Source organism: Homo sapiens, chromosome 9 (genome assembly GCF_000001405.40).
Source record: "Homo sapiens chromosome 9, GRCh38.p14 Primary Assembly".
NCBI lineage: Eukaryota > Metazoa > Chordata > Mammalia > Primates > Hominidae > Homo > Homo sapiens.
This window is the reverse complement of record NC_000009.12, coordinates 96,680,971-96,689,229: the sequence shown is the minus strand read 5'-3', so window position 1 is coordinate 96,689,229 and position 8,259 is coordinate 96,680,971. Positions and strand designations below refer to the sequence as shown.

The 8,259-nt window shown below is 46.3% G+C and overlaps 1 annotated feature.

Moving 5' to 3' along the window:
* Positions 7,749-8,043: a silencer, noted in NCBI's record as "tiled region #12242; K562 Repressive DNase matched - State 5:Enh". NCBI's record gives its function as "represses a minimal TATA promoter and a strong SV40 promoter by Sharpr-MPRA in K562 cells {active_cell/tissue: K562}" and the evidence as "EXISTENCE:reporter gene assay evidence [ECO:0000049][PMID:27701403]".

Here is an 8,259-nt window from a genome sequence, read left to right as displayed (position 1 = left end):
GCAATCCTCTCCCACCTCAGCCTCCAAGCCCAACTGATTTTTGTATATTTTCTAGAGACAGGGTTTCACCATGTTGCTCAGGCTGGTCTCAAACTCCTGGGCTCAAGTGAGCCACCCACTTTGGCCTCCCAAAGTGCTGGGATTATAGGCGTGAGCCACTGTGCCCAGCCTGATCTTCTTTTCGTAAAAACAAAACAACAAAATGTATATATAGAAGAACAACATCAGTCATCCACCAAGATGCCTCCTGTGATGGTTAATTTTATGTCAAGTTGGCATAACCACAGTACGCAAATATGTGGTCAAACATTATTCCAGATGTTTCCATGATGTTTTTGGATGACATTAACATTTTAATACGTGGACTTTTGAGTAAAGCTGATTGCCCTCCATAACGTGGGTGGGCCTCGTCCAGTCAGCTGAAGGCCTGATTAGAACAAGATTGACCTCCCCCTAGCAAGAGGGAACTGCAGCAGACAGCTTTCAGACTTGAACCACAACGTCAGCTTTTTCCTGGGTCTTCAGCCTTGAACGGCAGCAATGACTCTTTTCTGTGTCTCCAGCCTGCCAGTCCACCATGCAGATTTTGGATTTCCTGGCCTCCTTAATTATATGAGACAATTCCTTAAAATAAACCTCCTTATCCACACACACACACACAACCTTTGGTTCTATTTATTTGGATAACCCTGACTGATACACCCCCTCCAATCACTTTGTACCACTTCTGTGCACACACACCTGCCCCTTCACTCAACTTCAACCTGCTTTCACTTTCAAATGCCCACACTGAAGGGTCATCTTGAGAGGACTGCCTTTGTTCAGCCTATTAAACTGCTTTCCCTAAATGTGCAGAGCTAGGCGTGTCTGCACACTTACATCCTCTTCAGCGGCCCTTAACCCATGAAAAACAAGGTAAGTGTATGAAAGCCCAGCTCCCTTGTCTCTGGCCGAGATAACTCTTGAGATATCACCTATACTCCCTAACTCCCCTGTGAAGTCATACTGAAACGATCCTTTGCAAAGGTCCGCCTCAGATTTCATACTTCTTGCCTTCCATTCCCCATCTTGCTTGCTCCACTTCTTTACGAGAAGTTTAGAGCCAAAACGAAGTTAACAGCCTATCGTTTTTTCCTGCCTTTTCTAATCCATTTTAATCCACTGCACTTATCTCTCTAAAATACACATCACATCACTCTTTTTTTTTTTTTGAGACGGAGTCTCACCCTGGTGCCCAGGCTGGAGTGCAATGGCGCGATCTCGGCTCACTGCAACCTCTGCCTCCCGGGTTCTAGCGATTCTCCTGCCTCAGCCTCCCCAGTAGTTGGGATTACAGGCGCGCGCCACCACGCCTGGCTAATTTTTTGTATAGGTAGTAGAGACGGGGTTTCACCATGTTGGCCAGGCTGGTCTCGAACTCCTGACCTCATGATCCGCCCGCTTCGGCCTCACAACACTCTTTAAATTAAAAATGCGTTTACACAAGGACAAAAAACCAAACACCGCATGTTCGCACTCATAGGTGGGAATTGAACAATGAGAACACATGGACACAGGAAGGGGAACATCACACACCGGGGACTGTTGTGGGGTGGGGGGAGGGGGGAGGGATAGCATTAGGAGATATACCTAATGCTAAATGACGAGTTAATGGGTGCAGCACACCAACATGGCACATGTATACATATGTAACAAACCTGCACGTTGTGCACATGTATCCTAAAACTTAAAGTATAATAATAATAAAATTAAATTAAAAAATGCGTTTACAATAAAGTCCAAACGCCTCAAATACGGTATTCAAAGCAATATTTTAGCTGCTGCATCCCTCTCCCGCCTCATCCCCACTTCACCCCTACGCACTTTACTGAACTTTCCGTTCTCTGAACCCAGAAACCGTTCTACCTGGAAGGCGCTTCCCTCCTCAAATCCTCGCTGTGTGTGACGCGTCCTCGAGGCCCCGCTCAACTGGCATTCGCACACCCAGACGTCTGCCGTGGGAGATTCGCCTCTTCCGAGCGGGCGGACGGTCCTGTTAAGACCCGAGACATTCCTGTTTCGCTCAGGTTAAAACTCTGAAGTACCTGGACTGCTCATTTGGATTTGGCTCCTGCAGACACACCTTTCGCCCCAGCATGAGAACTCGATTTCCCGCAGTCGCCATCCGGATGCCCAAAAATAGACCAGCGCGCGTCCCCGCCTCTGACGCTGTGCCGAGGGCGGGGCGGGGCGGGACGGGTCGCGCTTCGCCAGCGCGGGGCGGGCAGTAGGGGGGGTTCCTGGCGCTTTGCGCGCGGTCGCTGTCGCGCGGCGTGGTAGTGCGTCAGCCTGTCCGCCTTGGTGAAGAAGCGGAAAGGCCCGGGCGGCAGTGAGGACCAGAATCCGGTGAGGTCGAGGCACGGTGCTGGGGCTCCTCAGAGCATTTGGTTCCATTGCATTCCCCTCATAGCCGCAGCTTGGCGCCCCCTGCAGCTCGGCCTGGGCCAGGAGACACACCTTCCAGGCTATTAAATTAGTATTTGTAAAAATACACTGCAAACTTGGGAAGAAATTGCCACATCGCGGCCTGTGCAGCGGCTCACGCCTGTAGGCCCAGCTACTCGGGAGGCCGAGGCGGGCGGATCGCTTAAGGTCAGGAGTTCGAGACCACCCTGGGCAACATGTGGAGACCCCCGTCTACAAAAAATCCAAAAAGTAGGCGGGAGTGGTGGTGCACGCCCGTAATCCCAGCTGCTCAGGAGGCTGAGGCAGGAGAATCACTTGAACCCGGAGGCGGAGGTTGCAGTGAACCGAGATCCCGCCACTGCACTCTAGCCTGGGAGACAAGAACAAAACTTAAAAAAAAAAAAAGAGAAAAAATACCTTGGCACATAGCTTTAAAAGATTATTGGAAGTCTTCCTTAGTAAAGCATTTACTAAACATTTTTTCTAGCCTAGTCCGTGAACTAGACTGGGAAACATTTCCTTCCTTCGTGATTTTCCACAGAATTTTGAAGAATTGCGAAGAATTGCGGTAGAGAGAATTTTACCTGAGCCACAAAGAGCTTCCTGCAAGTGGGCGCTGGTGGGGATTGCAACTTTAAATCCAACCAGAAAAGATTTGTCTATAGAAGAAAACACACTCTTAGTTCGTAGAGAATACCTAATACATTTTAGCAGTAATTTTAACATAACACTTTTTTCAGCCACTTAACTGCCACTCTTAACAAAAATGGAAGCAGTTACCAGCGTCTTCTATGTAGCTATGTGTTCAGCATTATGTCAGGTTCTAGGAATCAAAGACAAATGATTCCTGCCCTCTGGAATTCTGCACAGTCTTATGTCTTTAAAACAAAATTAGTGCATTCTGGGGCCCTTTCTTGACGATGGCACTTTGGGAGTCCCCATCTAGTTCTGGGTAGTCATTAACTGAGCATGGTACTGTGTTCTTGTGAAAAACAGTAAGTTCAGGCCGGGCGCAGTGGCTCACGCCTGTAATCCCAGCACTTTGGGAGGCTGAGGCGAGCGGATCACGAGGTCAGGTGGTGGAGACCATCCTGGCTAACACGGTGAAACCCCGTCTCTACTGAAAATACAAAAAATCAGCCGGGCGTGCTGGCGGGCGCCTGTAGTCCCAGCTACTCGGGAGGCTGAGGCAGGACAATGGCGTGAACCTGGGAGGCGGAGCTTGCAGTGAGCCGAGATCGCGCCACTGCACTCCAGCCTGGGCGACAGGGACTCCGTCTCAAAAAAAAAAAAAAAAAAGCAAAGAAAAACAGTAAGTTCTAACACATCACTAAGTGTTCAGTGTGTGTGTGTAGTGTGGATCTGAGTCTGCACTGGGCGGTTAGGTGGGCACCAAGGAGACCCTTGTTCCTAACTTCTCCAGATGAGAATCTAAGCCATGATATCAAAACATTTACTTCAAGTGAACTTTACCGGTGGTGAGACCAGTGAGCCTTCTAGAGCATAATTCTCCAAGTGCCTTCCTGAACACTCTGTGTATCAGAAGTTACATGGGATGGTTGTGCAAAATGCAGAACCTGGGTTCCCCTGCCCCAAACCTACAAAATCAGACCTGCTGTTGATGAATGCATAACTCTATAAAAAGAAAGTTGATGCATCCATTTTTACCAAGCATGCACTGCACAAAACATCCATACTCTGTAACCTGCCCTGTTAGCCTCTGAATGGTTTATTCTTACCTCTGTAACATCACCTTATTCTCTCCCCACTTTCCTGCTAAGCTACAGCTACACTTAGCGCTTTCATTGCTTTAAAAAAAAAAAAAAAAAAAAAAAAGTCAAGCTGCCGGGCGCGGTGGCTCACGCCTGTAATCCCAGCACTTTGGGAGGCTGAGGCGGGCGGATCATGAGGTCAGGAGATCGAGACCATCCTGGTTAACACAGTGAAACCCCCGTCTCTACTAAAAATACAAAAAATTAGCTGGGCATGGTGGCGGGTGCCTGTAGTCACAGCTACTTGGGAGGCTGAGGCAGGTGAATGGCGTGAACCCGGGAGACAGAGCTTGCAGTGAGCTGAGATCGCGCCACTGCACTCCAGCCTGGGCGACAGACCAAGAGTCCGTCTCAAAAAAAAAAAAAGTCAAGCTGCTTACGGTTACGAGGCCCTGCCTCTTCTATCTGATACCTCTGTGTAGGAAGCTGCTTCCTTCTTCCTTCTACCACCTTGAAAAAAAGTCCGTTGTCTTCAATGCTATCACCCTAGAAAAGCCTTTCCTATTGGCCCGGCGCGGTGGCTCACGCCTGTAATCCCAGCACTTTGGGAGGCCGAAGTGGGCGGATCACAAGGTCAGGCCAATATGGTGAAACCCCATCTCTACTAAAAATACAAAAATACTAAAAATACAAAAATGAGCCGGGCGTGGTAGCAGCTGCCTGTAGTCCCAGCTACTCGGGAGGCTGAGGCAGGAGAATCACTTGAACCGGGGAGGCAGAGGTTACAGTGAGCCGAGACTCCGCCACTGTCCTCCAGCCTGGGTGACAGAGCGAGACGCCGTCTTAAAAAAAAGGAAAAGCCTTTCCTAATCACCCTATCTCAAGAAGTCTTCCCCCTGCATTCTCTCAATTTCCTTCTTGGCACTTAACACTTTTTTTGATTACTTACATGTTTATTTATTTGTATATTGTGCCGCCTAAGGCCATGAAGGCAAGCGTGATATGTCTTTTGTTTACTATTGTATATCTAGTACTTTTCATATTGTTACCATATAATACTTATGTATACTGAATGAATGAGCACCTAGCATGCTTACAAGACTTCTGAGATTCCATGTGACTTTCCTTATACTTAGCCATTCAATCTTATCTTCTTCAACTTGAATCTCCCTATCTAGCAGTTTTCTTACTAATGCCTCATGCCAGATAACTTAATGCTTCTGATGCTCAGAATTCCCTCATGAACCCTCTGCTTATCCATATTTTTCACATCCTTCTACTCCTATGTGTGCCTTCTGAAGCCTTCACCAGCTATTTCAGCCTCAACGATAACTTTGTTCTTTGGTCTATGTGAAAGTTGTCAAATTCAAAATGGAGTCACTTGTGTCAAACTCTAGTATAACGGAGTTAGGGAAGGCAATGAAGGGAGGGCTCTCACACATGATTTGGCTGATAACAGGAACTATCACAAAAAAATTTTCCAAACCACAGCTTACTACATGTGTCACACAAGGACAGCTAGCAGCACAAGGACAGCTAGCCATTATATGAGAGCATCTGCCTGACACACCCAGTCCAAAACTGGAAGAGCCTAACTGTAACTCCAAGATTACAAGTCCTATCTAGCAACTGCTGACACTCATCAATCAGAACACACCAGCTATAAGACGCTGCCAGTGCCAATGAACTTCCCTTAAGAAAACAACTTTGAGGTTGGGCAGGTGGCTCAGGCCTGTAATCCCAGCACTTTGGGAGGCCGAGGCAGGCAGATCACAAGGTCAAGAGATCGAGACCATCCTGGCCAACATGGTGAAATCCCATCTCTACTAAAAATACAAAAAGTAGCTGGGCATGGTTGGCGTGTGCCTGTAGTCCCAGCTGCTCAGGAGGCTGAGGCAGCAGAATTGCTTGAACCTGGGAGGCAGAGGTTGCAGTGAGCCGAGATCGTGCCATTGCACTCCAGCCCAGGCAACAAAACCGAAACTTCATCTCAATAAATAAATAAATAAGAAAAAAATCCTAACTGCATGAAATTCACTGTAGTACATACTGTAGTACTATAATAATTTTGTAGCCATCTTCTGTTGCTATCGTGGTGAGCTCAAGTGTTGTGTATAGCCACTTGAAATGTCATGTGACACTAGTCATGTCTGTGTGGGCATTTTGTCTCCAGTAAATTGTATATCACAGTAAAAAGTGATCTCTGCTGGTTCTCAAAAATAGGTGCTACTCACAACACTTAGAGGCACTTCATATGGGTTCCATGGAGTTATTAAAGGTTTACAGTAAACATGCTGTACTTGCTGTACTATAAACCTTTAATAACACCATGCAACCCATATGAAGTGCCACCAGTGATGCTGTAAGTGCTCCCAAGAAGCAGAGAAAAGTCTTAATATTATGAGAAAAAGTTAAATTGTTTGACATGTACCGTAGATTGAGGTCTGCAGCTGCAGTTGCCTGCCATTTCAGACAGATGATTCATCTTGTAAACAGACGATATAAACTTATGGCATTGATAAGTACAGTACAGCATTGTAAATGTATTTTCTCTTCCTTATGATTTTTTTTTTTAATTTTTTAGAGACGGGGTCTTTGTTGCCCAGGCTGGAGTGCAGTGGCACAGTTATACCTCACTGCAGCCTCAAACTCCTGGGCTCCAGCGATCCTCCCACCTCAGCCTCCCAAGTAGCTGGGACTATTGACACATGCCACCATACCTGGCTAATTTTTTTTAATTTTTTGTAGAGATAAGGTCTCACTTTTTTGCCCAAGCTGGTCTCCAATTCCTAACCTCAAGTGATCCCCCTGCCTCAGGTTCCCAAAGTTCTGGGATTACAAGTGTGAGTCACCATGCCTGGCCCTTACGATTTTCTTAATAACATTTTCTTTTCTCTAGCTTTATTTTAAGAATACAGAATATAATATACATAACATACAAAATTGTGTTAATCAACTGTTTATGTTATCAGTGAGGCTTCTGGTCAACAATAGGCTATTAAGTTTTTGGGAAATCAAAAGTTACACATAGATTTTCAACTATGTGGGAGCTTGGTACCCCTAACCCCTGCATTGTTCAAGGGTCAGCTATATTTTTTTAATATATATTAACAGCCTTTATAGTTTTTTTGTTTTTGTTTTTGTTTGAGACAAATTTCACTCTTTTGCGCAGGCTGGAGTGCAGTGGTGTAATCTTGGCTCACTGCAACTCCCGCCCCCCAGGTTCAAGCGATTCTCATGTCAGCCTCTCAAGTAGCTGGAATTACAGACACCTGCCCCCCTGCCTGGCTAATTTTTGTATTTTTAAGCAGAGATGGGGTTTCACCATGTTGGCCAGGCTGGTCTCGAACTCCTGACCTCAAGTGATCCGCCCACCTCAGCCTCCCAAAGTGCTGGGATTACAGGTGTGAGCCACTGCTCCTGCCCATGCTTTATTTTAGGATTTCAGGATTGATCACATTTATGTTAAGTGGGGCTTTCAAGCAGTGTGAATGAAACTGCTCAGGAAGAAAGATAAGGCAGATGTGGTATCTGTACCCAGACAAACCTAGAGAAGATTGGGCATTAGCATTGTTTTAAGCAGATATGTAGTTCAGCTTAAACTTGATACACTGTGGTGTGCCCCCACCCCCAATCCCACCCAGGCCAATCTCCCAGGAATTGTAGAGAAGCCTTTCACTCCCGGAGATGAGGTAAAGGAGAGCCACTGGACATATCACTGACCCACAGGAACAGTGAGGCAGTGGGAAGGAAAGCTGCAGGGCACTGATGAGTATTAGCTTTACTGATAGCAGTTACTGGATAGATCATCAAGCCCCACAAATGTTTGATGGATTTTTCACATCTGCACTTTTGGAAGGACTTTTGTGTATTGGTATGTTCAGGTATATGTGACAGTTGTAAGGCTTCAGTAGACTATAAAGGACTTATTTATCATGAACAGCACCACAGAGAATTTCACCAATAAATTTTTGTGCAGTAACCAAGTTGTGAAAAGAGTATCTCTTTCATCGCTTCTAACAAAGCCTCTGTTGTTCCTAGACTGGTCTTAACATAGGATTTAATGTGGTAACAGAAGTGTCTATGCTTATCAGATATAGCT